Source organism: Homo sapiens, chromosome 7 (assembly GCF_000001405.40).
Source record: "Homo sapiens chromosome 7, GRCh38.p14 Primary Assembly".
Taxonomy (NCBI): domain Eukaryota; kingdom Metazoa; phylum Chordata; class Mammalia; order Primates; family Hominidae; genus Homo; species Homo sapiens.
The window spans coordinates 143,748,347-143,763,107 of record NC_000007.14 but is presented as its reverse complement, the minus strand read 5'-3'; the positions used below and the strand labels follow the sequence as shown (position 1 = coordinate 143,763,107).

The 14,761-nt window shown below is 39.3% G+C and overlaps 1 protein-coding gene and 1 pseudogene across 1 annotated transcript; both read left to right on the top strand.

Annotated features, from left to right (window-relative positions):
• Positions 5,412–8,019, top strand: CTAGE6 (CTAGE family member 6). The gene has a single exon (NM_178561.5). The coding sequence runs from the start codon at positions 5,450–5,452 to the stop codon at positions 7,781–7,783; it is 2,334 nt and encodes a 777-aa protein (NP_848656.2). The 5' UTR covers positions 5,412–5,449; the 3' UTR covers positions 7,784–8,019.
• On the top strand, positions 8,378–8,480 carry RNU6-267P (RNA, U6 small nuclear 267, pseudogene; annotated as a pseudogene).

The following is a 14,761-nucleotide window of genomic DNA, read 5'->3' as shown; positions in this document are numbered from 1 at the left end:
CTAAACTGAAACAAGTAGAAGCAAAAAAAAAAAAAAAAAAAAAAGCAGTTTATTGATTAAGGAAACAAAAATGTCTAGATGTTGACCTGGAGCTTTAATCAGTACTATATCTAGATTCTTTAACAATATCCCTAGGGGTATCGCTCTTTGCCTTTGATTTGTCATTTATGTGTGTGTGTATGGTAGGGGTGGGGGTGGGTGGTGATGGTGCTTATTGTCCATCAAGCTCTCTTTGTGTGAAGATAATATTACAAGGCAATTCCAGGCTTAAATGGTTTGTAGAAATCATTATCTCAGAAAGAAAGAAATTATTTCTCCATTAATGCCTTTATCACTCATCTGGACACTGACTGGCTATACTTAGGTCGTTTGAACATTCATAGTCAAGTCTTGAGGTCCAGGGCATGGAATGCTAAGACTGGCCATCTGTAGTCACACCTACTCTGATGATGAGAATGGTGGGGTCCCTTGGTTGTCATCCCCATTTCAATCAGAGAGAAAGTAAAGGCAGCTCTCAGAATAAAGATTCATAGAACAGATGAAAAAGCAAAAAAGGCCACTAAAGGAAAGTGAATTTATATATATATTTTTTCACTTTAAGCATATCTTGGGCTCTTGCAATTAGGAAAAGAATAGCTATGATGCTATGTTCTCTCAGTTAAGGGCACTGGTTCTGGAATTCAATGATCTGTTTCACATTCTTGCTCTACCACTTATTCGTTTTTCATTTTGAAATTTAGTTTTCTTCACGTGTCGCTGAAGATTAATTATGAGTATGTGGCTTAGTAATGCGCATTCATCATGGACTTGCAGTGACACTGATCCTTCAGCACAGAATATCCTGGCACACGTTCCTGACCAAAAAGCAGCCATTTGTGGGGCACAAGCCAATATTTATTGCATATTCTTGCCTTGGTCTATCTTTCTGATACTAACACCAAATTTTCTAGGATAGAAGACTTCTAACTCTCAGGAAGTAGTTTGTTTCTCAAAGAGAAAACATGGGGTGTTCAGTTGGCTGTGTGGCTGCTCCCATCTGTAGAGGTGAAGTGGATGTACGTAGTCTTCTATGCTGACAGAATAATTCAAAAGAATGCTTTGAAGGTAAATATATAAATCAGTACACTCCCCCAACTCAATACCTTCATGAAATGTATCTTCATGAAGTCTGCCTATTACATTAAAGCTTTTTTTTTCTTTGACAGAGTTTCGCTCTTGTTGCCCAGGCTGGAGTGCAATGGTGCGATCCTGGCTCACTGCAGCCTCTGCCTCCTGGGTTGAAGCGATTCTCCTGTCTCAGCCTCCTGAGTAGCTGGGATTACAGGTACCTGCCACCACATCTGGCTAATTTTGAATTTTTAGTAGAGACGGGGTTTCTCCAATTTGGTAAGGCTGATCTCGAACTCCAGACCTCAGGTAATCTGTCTGCCTTGCCCTCCCAAAGTGCTGGGATTACAGGTGTGAGTCACCATGCCCGGCCTACATTAAAGTTTTAATTTCCAGGAAGACACTCCGACTTGAAGCAGAGTGATATAGTTTGGATACGTCCCCACCAAATCTAATGTTAAATTATAATCCCCAATGTTGGAAGTAGGGCCTAATGGTAGGTGTTTGGGTCATGGAGGTGGATTGCTCATGGCTTGGTGCTATCCTCACCATAGTAAGTGAGTTCTCAGAGATCTGGTCATTTATAAATGTGTGTAGCACTTCCCCCTGACTCTCTCTTTCTTGCTTTTGCTCTGCCTTGTGAGATGTCTGTCTGCTCCCACTTTGACTTCTGCCATGAGTAAAACCTTCCTGAGGCCTCATCAGAGGCTGAGGAGATGCTCCCTGTACAGTTTGCAGAACCATAAGCCAATTCAACTTCTTTTCATTGTAAATTACCAGTATCAGGTATTTCCTTCTTCCTTTCTTTTCTTTGTTTTTGTGGGCGGAGTGGGGAGGTGGGACAAGGTGCTGATTTTAAAAGATAAACAGGAGTTTTCCTGTTATAGAAAGAAGGCAAAACCATTTCAGGAAACCCTGTTATAGAAAGAAGGCAAAACCATTTCAGGAAACCCTGTTATAGAAAGAGGGCAAAACCATTTCAGGAAGAAAGAGTAGTATTTGTAAATGCACAGAAATATGAACTGTGGTGAAATGTTCTGAAAACGATCATCAGTTTGGAATTGCGGGAGAAGGGGTGCAAAGATGGGAACCTGGAACTTGAGGCAGGAGGTGAAGGCAGACCCAGATGATGAGAAGGTTGGCAACAGGAATTTACTGAAGGATTCTACCTGAAGGCAACAGGAATTTACTGAAAGGTTTTAAGCTGAAATTTATGGTTAATTTGGCAGTATTCTGGGAGACAGCTCAGTTGGGATTGTGGCTAGAGGTAGGGAAACTAGTGAGGAGGCTTCTGGAACAGTCCAGGTGAGAGGTGCTGAGGACTTGAACTTTGACCGTGGGGATAAGAATGGAGGCTGAGGAGTTAGGGAGGTGTTTGCCTGGTGTGGACTCAAGTCTCAGACTGCAGAGCAATGGACGTCCACACAGAAGGCAGTGAAGAGAGTCTATTTCCAGGGGCTTTGAAATGAGCTTGAATGTCAGACTTCTGGCTGACACTATGACTGTCTCATGCAGACCTTCAGACAGATTACTTACTAATAAGGAAAATGGTATAGTCTGAAAGTAATCTCAGGCTCTTTGGAATTATGAAGACAGGGCAAAAGTCAAGAGATGGTATGTTTTTGTGCCAAAGACATGGAGGTCTAATGCTGAACCTGAGTTTCAGGTCTGCCCTTTCTAATCAATTATAAGGTGAACTTCAAACTGTTTATGTCTTTTAACCTCAAGGTTCTGCATCTGCCAAATGGGGGACCGGATAATACTTCCTCCAATCTATTTCACAGCTAGCAAGAAAATACTTGTAAGCCATACTTCACATTCCTGACCAAGTCTCTTCCCTCATGAAATAAAATCATTAAGAAATTTTTAGTAATATTTTAATTATCATATTTTAATTAAAAATTTAAGTATAGAAAGAAGACTGTATAGCTCTACATTAAAAACACATTAGTACATGACTTGGCTACTTGACACCAAAGTAGCTGGTGTCACATTCACCCTCCCACGATAAAAAACTATACAATCTGGACAAAATATAGAAAAAAAATTCTTGGCAGTTGTATTAGTCTGTTCTCATGCTGCTAATAAAGACATACCCAAGACTAGGGAATTTATAAAAGAAAGAGGTTTAGTGGACTCACAGTTCCACATGGCTGGGGAGAACTCACAATCATGATAGAAGGCAAAGGAAAAGCAAAGGCACATCTTACATGGCAGACAAGAGAGAGGGCATGTGCTGGGGAGCTCCCCTTTGTAAAACCATCAGATCTCATGAGACTTATTCACTATCACAAGAACAGCATGGGAAAGACCCACCCCCATGACTCAATTACCTCTCACCAGGTCCTCAGCATGGTTCAGGTGGGCAAGGCTACACGTGGGAATTATGGGAGCTACAATTCAAGATGGGATCTGGGTAAGGACACAGCCAAACCATATCAGCAGGCATTGAAGAACATTGTTGTACCAAGTCAGGTATGAGATCTTTAAGGAAGGTGAGACACATGAGGTTAGTACCACATTTGCCAGGGTTTTCCAGAAAGGCATCTTCCTGACCTTGGTACAGGAAAATGGGACCCAACCAGAGGTTAGTGGTCTTGGTAACCAAAAGAAGCAAAAAATAGAGTTCAAAGCTAATAAGCTGGTTGGGAATTGGGGGTTAATGTACCATATGGGAGAGAGAAAGAACCCTGGAAATGGGTGTGTAAATGCCATTTTGGTCCTTCCGTGACTCTTTAGCTGTGTGACAGTTGGCTAAGAAGAGGAGAGACCTAGTAGAAAGCAACTGCTGGGAAAGCAGAAGAGATCATCAGGGACTGAAAATTTCCTGGAAACCTACTGGGTTTCAGATCCAGCCAGATGGGGAAATGTTGGTAAACAACTGAGAAACCCAGTTGGGACCCTAAAGATTCTGTCTAAGGAGAGGTACAGTATCCTAGGAGTAAGGCATATGTCCTAAGAGGAAAATAAAATATCATTACCATAGCACAGCTTAAAACTAGGTCTTGAGAGCAGCAAGGTGATCTGCAGGTAATATAACATCTGTCCAGAAAAAAATTCAAAATTTTTGGGCATTTCTATATCATATTATCCAGAAACTCAGCATACTTTTAAAAAGTTACCACATACACAAAAAAGCAAGAAATACAGACTCATAAAAAATAAATCAATTATTAAAAACAAATTCACAGATAATCCAGATATTGGAGTTAATAGATAGGGCATCATAATATCTATGATCAATATAAAGGAAAGAAAGAAAAAATGAAAGACAAAGCAGGTCGTGTCCTATTTCCTTCTGGCAGCTCTAAAATGCTCACTTTATTTATTGGCATAGATTTCGATTTCCTAAATTATGTTTGATGTTTCAAGCAAAAATCATAGCATTGTCTGGTGTTAATCTAAATGGATGTAAGACAATGATACTATAAATTTGAGAGGGTAAAGAGACATAAAATGACACAGGGTTGCTATACTACACTCAAACTGGAATACAGATGACACCAATTGACTGTGATAATGTATGTATAAAGGAATATCTAGAACAACCACTAAGCTATAAAAAGCAACCAGAAAACTATAAAAAAGAAGATACATCATAAACACTATGAATAACAAAATGGAATTCTAAAATAAATGTTCAAATAACCCACAGAAAGTCATGAAAAACAAGCAGAGACACAAGAGTTGATAGAGAAAACAAAAACTGTCAGGCTTATGCACTAAAGTATCAATAATTCATTTAATTATGAATGGTCTACCAAGAGACAGATAATAGAAGAGTGTATGTAAAAGTATGACCCTTTCTTATATGTTTCTTGCATGCTGTGTACAAGAAACTCACTTGAAATTTACCAATACAGGGCAGGCCAAATTAACAGGATGAAAAAAGATATATTACACAAACATTAATGAAAGGAAAGCAAGAGTGCCTGTATGTATATCAGATAAAGCAAAGAAAATTACCAGAAACAGATTATATAATGATCAAAGGTTTAATTCATGAAGAAGACAGCAATTTTAAAAGTGTATTCACCAAAAAATAAAGCTTCAAAATATGTGATGTGAAAACTGCCAGAACTAAGGCGGGCCGGGCTCAGACCAGCGCTGCCTCAGGATGTGAAGTGTAACAAGAGGGCCAGGGGAGGTGGTGGGGGACAACATGGGCCTGTGAGGCCTGTGGGTGCCCGCGTTCCCCAGCTCCCCCCGCAGCCCGCTCCACAGTGGTCCGCTCCGGTTGGTTGTCACGTGCGCATTCGGGTTCCAGACCCAAGGCTGCGTGTTCTCCACCGCTTGTTGTGGCCAGTGTTACTGCGGTGACCGCCAGAGCAGCCTCGACGCTATGGAGGAGCCTGGTGCTACCCCTCAGCCCTACCTGGGGCTGGTCCTGGAGGAGCTACGCAGAGTTGTGGCAGCACTACCTGAGAGTATGAGACCAGATGAGAATCCTTATGGTTTTCCATCGGAACTGGTGGTATGTGCAGCTGTTATTGGATTTTTTGTTGTTCTCCTTTTTTTGTGGAGAAGTTTTAGATCGGTTAGGAGTCGGCTTTACGTGGGAAGAGAGCAAAAACTTGGTGCAACGCTTTCTGGACTAATTGAAGAAAAATGTAAACTACTTGAAAAGTTTAGCCTTATTCAAAAAGAGTATGAAGGCTATGAAGTAGAGTCATCTTTAGAGGATGCCAGCTTTGAGAAGGCGGCAGCAGAAGAAGCACGAAGTTTGGAGGCAACCTGTGAAAAGCTGAACAGGTCCAATTCTGAACTTGAGGATGAAATCCTCTGTCTAGAAAAAGACTTAAAAGAAGAGAAATCTAAACATTCTCAACAAGATGAATTGATGGCGGATATTTCAAAAAGTATACAGTCTCTAGAAGATGAGTCAAAATCCCTCAAATCACAAATAGCTGAAGCCAAAATCATCTGCAAGACATTTAAAATGAGTGAAGAACGACGGGCTATAGCAATAAAAGATGCTTTGAATGAAAATTCTCAACTTCAGACAAGCCATAAACAGCTTTTTCAGCAAGAAGCTGAAGTATGGAAAGGAGAAGTGAGTGAACTTAATAAACAGAAAATAACATTTGAAGACTCCAAAGTACACGCAGAACAAGTTCTGAATGATAAAGAAAATCACATCAAGACCCTGACTGGACACTTGCCAATGATGAAAGATCAGGCTGCTGTGCTTGAAGAAGACACAACGGATGATGATAACCTGGAATTAGAAGTGAACAGTCAATGGGAAAATGGTGCTAACTTAGATGATCCTCTGAAAGGAGCTTTGAAGAAACTGATTCATGCTGCTAAGTTAAATGTTTCTTTAAAAAGCTTAGAAGGAGAAAGAAACCACATTATTATTCAGTTATCTGAAGTGGACAAAACAAAGGAAGAGCTTACAGAGCATATTAAAAATCTTCAGACTCAACAAGAATCTTTGCAATCAGAAAACATATATTTTGAAAGTGAGAATCAGAAGCTTCAACAGAAACTTAAAATAATGACTGAATTCTATCAAGAAGATGAAATGAAACTCTATAGGAAATTAACAGTGGAGGAAAATTACCGAATAGAGGAAGAAGAGAAGCTTTCTAAAGTGGAAGAAAAGCTCAGCCGTGCCACTGAACAGCTGGAGACCTATAGAAAGCTAGCCAAAGATCTTGAAGAAGAATTGGAGAGAACTGTTCATTTTTATCAAAAGCAGGTTATTTCCTACGAGAAAAGAGGACATGATAATTGGTTGGCAGCTCGGACTGCTGAAAGAAACCTCAGTGATTTAAGGAAAGAAAATGCTCACAACAAACAAAAATTAACTGAAACAGAGTTGAAATTTGAACTTTTAGAAAAAGATCCTAATGCACTTGATGTTTCAAATACAGCATTTGGCAGAGAGCATGCCCCGAATGGTCCCGCACCATTGGGTCAGCGTTCATCTGAAACGAGAGCTTTTCTCTCTCCTCAAACTTTGTTGGAGGATCCACTGGGACTCTCACCTGTGCTTCCGGAGGGAGGAGGAAGAGGCCCAAGAGGCCCAGGGAATCCCCTGGACCATCAGATTACCAATGAAAGAGGAGAACCAAGCTGTGACAGGTTAACCGATCCTCACAGGGCTCCTTCTGACACTGGGTCCCTGTCATCTCCGGTGGAACAGGACTGTAAGATGATGTTTCCTCCACCAGGACAATCATATCCTGATTCAGCTCTTCCTCCTCAAAGGGAAGACAGATTTTATTCTAATTCTGAAAGACTGTCTGGATCAGCAGAACCCAGAAGTTTTAAAATGACTTCTTTGGATAAAATGGATGGGTCAATGCCTTCAGAAATGGAATCCAGTAGAAATGATGCCAAAGATGATCTTGGTAATTTAAATGTGCCTGATTCATCTCTCCCTGCTGAAAATGAAGCAACTGGCCCTGGCTTTATTCCTCCACCTCTTGCTCCAGTCAGAGGACCATTGTTTCCAGTGGATACAAGGGGCCCGTTCATGAGAAGAGGACCTCCTTTCCCCCCACCTCCTCCAGGAACCATGTTTGGAGCTTCTCGAGGTTATTTTCCACCAAGGGATTTCCCAGGTCCACCACATGCTCCATTTGCAATGAGAAACATCTACCCACCGAGGGGTTTACCTCCTTACTTTCACCCGAGACCTGGATTTTACCCCAACCCCGCATTCTGAAGGTAGAAGCGAGTTCCCTTCAGGATTGATTCCGCCTTTAATGCTACTGAACATCCAGGACCACAAAAGAAACCTGACAATATTGTTGCTTTCTTCAAAAGTAATTTTGACTGATCTCATTTTCAGTTTAAGTAACTGCTATTACTTAAGTGATTGCACTTTTGCTCAAATTGAAGTTTAATGGAATTATAATTCTCAGGATAGTATTTTGTAAATAAAGATGTTTTAAATAGGAATCTTATGAGTAAATCATTCCATTTTATTATTCTAGATCATATAACTATTTTAATTTGGTGAATTAATCCACTGTTATAGAAACAATAATGGGAGTTTTATATATGTAATCTTGCAGGTGGGGAGGCTTTAAATTCTAAAGGTTGTGGTGTCTTCATGCCAAGAACTGTATTCACTGTGGTTGTAGATAAATGTGAAAGTAACTTTATGCTTAATTTAATAAACTTTAGTTGATTTTTTTTTTAAAAAGAAAACTGCCAGAACTGAAAGTAGGTATAGATGAATCCACAATTATAGTTGGAAATTTTCTCTTGCGTTTTTCAATAATGGATAGAACTAGACAGAAAATCAGCAAGGAGTGTTGGCTTTGGCAGCACTTTCTAAAATTAGAATGACACAGACAAGATTAACACGTCTCCTGCATATAGATTACACAAAATTTTGTGAAGCGTTTCATATTTTAAAAGGGGGGAAAAAAAAAGAAAATCAACAAGAATATAAAACAACTCAAAATGCCATTAACCAAAAGAATCTATTTGGCATTTACAGAATATTCCACACAACAACAGCAGAATACACATTTTTTTTGAGTGCTGACGAAACACATGGCAAGATAGAGCTATCCTAGGCCCTAAAACTCACCAGAACAAATTTAAAAGAGATCGTAATCATCCAGAGCAGGTGAAAACCAGAAACCATTGTAGGGAATCCAATTGGAAATCAGCATAAGAAAGATATGAAAATTCCCAAACACTTGGAAATTAAAAAAACACACTTCTAACTAATCTATCGGTCAAAGAAGAAGTCTCAAGGAAAAATTTTAAAAATACATTGAACTGGATAAACATGAAACTGTGACATATCAATGTACTGAGAAGGAAACTTATAGCAGTAAATGCATGCATTAGTAAAGAGGAAAAGTCTCGAGTGAGCAATAGATTTCCACCTCAGGAACCTAGAAAAAGAAGAGCAGAATAAACTCAAAGCAAGTAGAGGGTGGAGATTAATGAAGATAAGAAAAGAAAACACTTATATTTAAAAGAGAAAAAATAGTTAAACCAATAAAACAAAGGGATAGTTCTGTTAAAAGATTAATAAAATTTAGCAAACTCAAACAGAAATTAAAAGGAAAAGAAAAGGCATAAATTTTAAATACCATAATGAAACAGGTGATATCACTACAGACACCACATATAACAAAGGACAATCAAGGAATATTACAAACCACTCCACACACATAAATTAGACAACTTAGACAAAATGGACAAAATGCAGTGTTCCTCCTGCAACACAAGCAAACTCAACTCACCACGCATGAATAGATCATTTGAATAACTCTATAACCATTAAGAAAATTGAATTCATAATTTTAAAACTACCAGAAAAGGAATCTCTAGGTTTAGATGGTTTCACTGGAGAATTCTACCATGTTTAAAAAAAAAAACACCAATTCTACACAATCTTTTCCAGAAAACAGAAAAGGAGAGAACACTCCCCAATTTATTTTTTGAAGCTATTATTACACTGATACCAAAACCAGGAGAGAGAGTGGGTGTGTGTGTGTATATGTAAAGATATGTATAACTTAATATTAACAAATAGAGTTCTACAGTATATTAAAAAAATGTACCCCATGTCCAAGGGGGGTTGTTTCCAGAAATACAAGCCTGATTAAGTCTCAAAAAGTCAATCAAAATAATCCACCATGTTAACAAACAAAAGAAAAGTTACGTTGCATCAGTTGATGCATAATAAACATTTAACAAATTTAACACATTTCAATATCCATTCATGATAAAATCTCTCTATAAAGCAGGAATAGAGGAAACTTTATCCACTTGATAAAAAGCATCTACAAAAAGCTAACATTATACAGTCATGTGTTGTTTAACGATGCGTTAAATGATATGTTCTGAGAAATGTGCTGTCAAGTGAATTTGTCATTGTGCAAATGTCGTAGAGTGTACTTACAGAAACCTAGGTGGTATATATAGTAGCCACTATACACCTTGGCTATATGGAAGAGCTCATAGCTCCTACGGGACAAACCTGTGCAGCATATTAGTGTAGTGAATACTATAGGCAATTGTAACACAGTAAGTGTTATGTTTATGGTAACAATTTGTAATAGTCACCAACTGTGGTATTTATGTAACTAAGTATATCTAAATACATGAAATGTACAGTAGAAAATATAAAAGATTTTTAAGATGGTACACCTGTATAGGGAACTTACAATAAATGGAGCTTGCAGGACTGGAAGTTGCCTGGGCGAGTTAGTGAGTGAGTGAGTGGTGAGTGAATATGAAGGCCTAGGACATTACTGGCTGTGGGTTTGTCACAGATAGCTCTTATTATTTTAAGATGTGTTCCATCAATACCTAGTTTATTGAGAGTTTTTAGCATGAAAGGCTGTTGAATTTTGTCAAAGGCCTTTTTTGCATCTATTGAGATAACTGTGTGGGTTTTGTCATTGGCTGTGCTTATGTTACGGATTACGTTTATTGATTTGCATATGTTGAACCTGCCTTGCATCCCAGGGATAAAGCCAACTTGATGGTGGTGGATAAGCTTTTTGATGTGCTGCTGGATTCTGTTTGCCAGTATTTTATTGAGGATTTTTGCATCGATGTTCATCAGGGATATTGGCCTGAAATTTTCTTTTTTTGTTGTGTCTCTGCCAGGTTTTGGTATCAGGATGATGCTGGCCTCATAAAATGAGTTAGGGAGGAGTCCTCTTTTTCTATTGATTGGAATAGTTTCTGAAGGAATGGTATCAGCTCCTCTTTGTACCTCTGGTAGAATTCAGCTGTGAATCCATCTGGTCCTGGGTTTTTTTTGGTTGCTAGGCTATTAATTACTGCCTCAATTTCAGAACTTGTTATTGGTCTATCCAGGGAATCGAGTTCTTCCTGGTTTAGTCTTGGCAGGGTGTATGTGTCCGATAATGTATCCATTTCTTCTAGATTTTCTAGTTTATTTGCGTAGAGGTGTTTATACTATTCTCTGATGGTAGTTTGCATTTGTGTGGCATCAGTAGTGATATCCCCTTTATCATTTTTATTGTGTCTATTTGATTCTTCTCTCTTTTCTTCTTTATTAGTCCAGCTAGCAGTCTATTTTGTTCATCTTTTCAAAAAACAAACAAGCAAAAAAACAGCTCCTGGATTCATTTTTTTAAAAGGGTTTTTCGTATCTCTATCTCCTTCAGTTCTGCTCTGATCTTAGTTATTTCTTGTCTTCTGCTAGCTTTTGAATTTGTTTGCTCCTGCTTCTCTAGTTCTTTGAATTGTGATGTTAGGGTGTCAGTTTTAGATCTTTCCCACTTTCTCCTGTGGGCTTTTATTGCTATAAATTTCCCTCGAAACACTGCTTTAGCTGTGTCCCAGAGATTCTGGTACGTTGTGTCTTTGTTCTCATTGGTTTCAAAGAACTTATTTATTTCTGTTTTAATTTTATTATTTACTCAGTAGTCATTCAGGAGGATGTTGTTCAGTTTCCATACAGTTGTGCAGTTTTGAGTCAGTTTCTTAATCCTGAGTTCTAATTTGATTGCACTGTGGTCTGAGAGACTGTTTGTTATGATTTCCCTTCTTTTGCATTTGCTGAGGAGTGTTTTACTTCCAATTATATGGTCAATTTTAGAATAAGTGTGATGTGGTGCTGAGAAGAATGTATATTCTGCTGATTTGGCATGCAGAGTTCTGTAGATGTCTATTAGGTCCACTTGGTCCAGAGCTGAGTTCAAGTCCAGAATATCATTGTTAATTTTCTGTCTTGTTGATCTGTTTAGCATCAACAGTAGGGTGTTAAAGTCTCCCACTATTATTGTGTGGGAGTCTAAGTCTCTTTGTAGGTCTCTAAGAACTTGCTTTATGAATCTGGGTGCTCCTGTATTGGATGCATGTATATCTAGCATAGATAGCTCTTCTTGTTGCATTGATCCTTCTACCATTTTGTAATGCCTTATTTGTCTTTTTTGATCTTTGTTGGTTTACAGTCTGTTCTATCAGAGACTAGAATTGCAACCCCTGATTTTTTTTTTTTTTTTTTTTTTTTTTTGCTTTCTATTTTCTTGGTAAATCTTCTCCCATCCCTTCATTTTGAGCCTGTGTGTGTCTTTGCACATGAGATGGGTCTCCTGAATACAGCACACCGATGGGTCTGGACTCTTTATCCAATTTGCCAGTCTGTCTTTTAATTGGGACATTTAGCTTGTTTACATTTAAGGTTAATATTGTTATGTGTGAATTTGATCGTGTCATTATGATGTTAGTTGGTTACTTTGCCTATTAGTTGATGCAGTTTCTTCATAGTGTTGATGGTCTTTACAATTTGGTACATTTTTGCAGTGGCTGGTACCAGTTGTTCCTTTCCACATTTAGTGCTTCCTTCAGGAGCTTTTGTAACACCGGCCTGGTGGTGACAAAATCACTGAGCATTTGCTTGTCTGTGAAGGATTTTACTTCTCTTTCACTTATGAAGTTTAGTTTGGCTGGATATGAAATTTTGGGTTGAAAATTCTTTTCTTTAAGAATGTGAGGGCAGGGATGCAGCTGAAAAGCTGGCGGCCCAGACAGAAGTCTGCCCCAAGCAGCCTGAGCCCTCAGGCACCCCCCAGCTCCCTGGGAGCTCCCCTCCACCTGCCAACGTCAGTGCCACACTGGTGTCTGAAAGGAAAAACAGGAACAGGACAGACTAACCTTTTAAATGACGTGAAAAAATCAGAGGTGAAAATTGTACATTTGGAATGTATTTATGTAAATTTTGTTGAAATTTAGTGTAAACAAAGATTTTCTCAGTGGTCTAGAAAATAAAAAAGAAAAAAAAAAGAAAAGAATGTGGAATATTGGTCCCCACTCTCTTCTTGCTTGTAGGGTCCTGCCAAGTCTGCTGTTAGTCTGATGGGTTTCCCTTTGTGAATAACCTGACCTTTCTCTCTGGCTGTCCTGAACAGTTTTTCCTTCATTTCAGCCTTGGTGAATCTGATGATTATTTGTCTTGGGGTTTTTCTTCTCAAGGAGTATCTTTGTGGTGTTCTCTGTATTTCCTGAATTTGAATGTTGGTCTGTCTTGCTAGGTTGGGGAAGTTCTCCTGGATAATATCCTGAAGTGTGTTTTCCAACTTGGTTCCATTCTCCTGGTCACTTTCAGGTATACCAATCAAACGTAGGTTTGGTCTTTTCATGTAGTCCCATATTTCTTGGAGGCTTTGTTCATTCCTTTTCATTCTTTTTTCTCTAATCTTGTCTTCATGCTTTATTTCATTAAGTTGATCTTCAATCTCTGATATCCTTTCTTCCATTTGATTGATTCAGCTATTGATACTTGTGTATGCTTCACAAAGTCATCGTGTTGTGTTTTTCAGCTCCATCAGGTCATTTATGTTCTTCTCTAAACTGGTTATTCTAGTTGGCAATTCCTGTAATGTGTTTTCAAGGTTCTTAGCTTCCTTGCATTGGGTTATAACATGCACCTTTAGCTCAGAGAGGTTTGTTTTACCTACCTTCTGAAGCCTACTTCTGCCAATTCATCACTCATTCTCCATGCAGTTTTGTTCCCTTGCTGGCGAGGAGTTGTGATCCTTTGGAGGAGAAGAGGCTTTCCGGTTTTTGGCATTTTCGGCAATTTTGCACTGCTTTTTCCTCATTTTTGTGGATTTATCTACCTTTGGTCTTCGATGTTGGTGACCTACAACATCGAAGATGAAACCCCATGAAGATGGGGTTTCAGTGTGGATGTCCTTTTTGTTGAAATTGATGCTATTCCTTTCTGTTTGTTAGTTTTTCTTCTAACAGTCAGGCCCCTCTGCTGCAGGTCTGCTGGAGTTTGCTGGAGGTCCACTCCAGACCTTGTTTGTCTGGGTATCACCAGCGAGGGCTGAAGAACAACAAAGATTGCTGCCTGTTCCTTCCTCTAGAAGCTTCATCCTAGAGGGGCACCTATCAGATGTCAGCCTGAGCTCTCCTGTAGGAGGTGTCTGTCAACCCCTAATGGGAGGTGTCTCCTAGTCAGGATGCACTGGGTTCAGGGACCCACTTGAGGACACAGTCTGTCCCTTAGCAGAGCTTAAGCACTGTGCTGGGAGATCCACTACTCTATTCAGAGCTGGCAGGCAGGGACGTTTAAGTCTGCTGAAGCTGTGCCCACAGCCACCCTTTCCCCCAGCTGCTCTGTCCCAGGGAGGTGGGAGTTTTATTTATAATCCCCTGACTGGGCTGCTGCCTTTGTTTCAGAGATGCCCTGCCCGGGGAGGAGGAATCCAGGGAGGCAGTCTGGCTACAGTGGCTTTGCTGAGCTGCTAGCTGCAGTGGGCTCTACCCTGTTTGAACTTCCCAGCAGCTTTGTTTACCACCTATTCAAGCCTCAGTAATGGCAGATGCCCCTCCCCGCACCAAGCTCCAGCGTCCCAAGTCAACTTCCAATTATGATGCTCATAATCAAATTATGATGGAAGCGTGAATCTGGCACCAGCTACTTTGGTGTCAAGTAGCCAAGTCACGTACTAATTTATTTTTAATGTAAAGCTATACAACCTTCTTTCTATACTTAAAATTTTAATTAAAATATTACTAAAAATTTCTTAATGATTTTATTTCATGGTGAAAGAGACTCAGTCTGGAATGTAAAGTATGTCTTACAAGTATTTCTCATTTTGCAGGACATTGTCTAGGTGTCCCTCTCCCATGGATGATCATTAGTGTGGTTTATCTTTATGCTTTGAGAAAATAAGTCTGTAGTATG